Raw genomic sequence first — 649 nt, 5'->3', positions numbered from 1 at the left:
GGATTAGGATAGATCCTAGCTGATTAAAAGAAGCATGTTTCCAGTAACTGCCTTGTCCCACATCACAGCAAACTCTGAGAATGAGCCTGGGGCAGCAGGACACCTGAGGTGGGGTGGGGTGTGTCCTGCAGTCGTTATCTGTCAGAGGGTGAATTAGGAGTGGTGGTGGGTGTGCTCATGTTTCCAGTGCTTGCAATGACCTGTTGGCTGTCCTTACCCTGGCTAGAGGATTTATATCTCACTTCAACTACAGATCAGAGTTCATAAATATTAACATATGTCAATCTCCAACACAGGACTATGTACTGAGCCCCTTCATACAATGGGCTGCTGTAAACTCCACCTGGCTGTTTCACAGGCAATTTCAACTCAACAGCTCCAAAGATGAAGACGTCATCACCCCCATCCCAGCAGCCTCAAATCCTATGTTCTCTCCAGCCCTATGAATATATGTATCACCTGCCAAGACACTGAAGCCAGAACCTTCCTTTTCTCTCCCCCCTTACCCAATTCATCACTAAGTTCCCTTGAATCACTCTTGGATGTTTCTCCCACAGAGCCTTCTCTGCAGCACATTCTATCATTACATCAGTTCTTTCCCTCCTTTCCTCATTTCTTCCCTGGACCGTTACAATATGGTCCACTCATC

At 46.8% G+C, this 649-nt stretch overlaps 1 annotated feature.

Annotated features, from left to right (window-relative positions):
• Positions 1 to 295: a silencer, noted in NCBI's record as "tiled region #12883; HepG2 Repressive non-DNase unmatched - State 23:Low". NCBI's record gives its function as "represses a minimal TATA promoter and a strong SV40 promoter by Sharpr-MPRA in HepG2 cells {active_cell/tissue: HepG2}" and the evidence as "EXISTENCE:reporter gene assay evidence [ECO:0000049][PMID:27701403]".

Source organism: Homo sapiens, chromosome 2 (genome assembly GCF_000001405.40).
Source record: "Homo sapiens chromosome 2, GRCh38.p14 Primary Assembly".
Lineage (NCBI taxonomy): Eukaryota > Metazoa > Chordata > Mammalia > Primates > Hominidae > Homo > Homo sapiens.
Note: the sequence above shows the minus strand (reverse complement) of the source record. Positions and strands in the feature narration are given on the sequence as shown.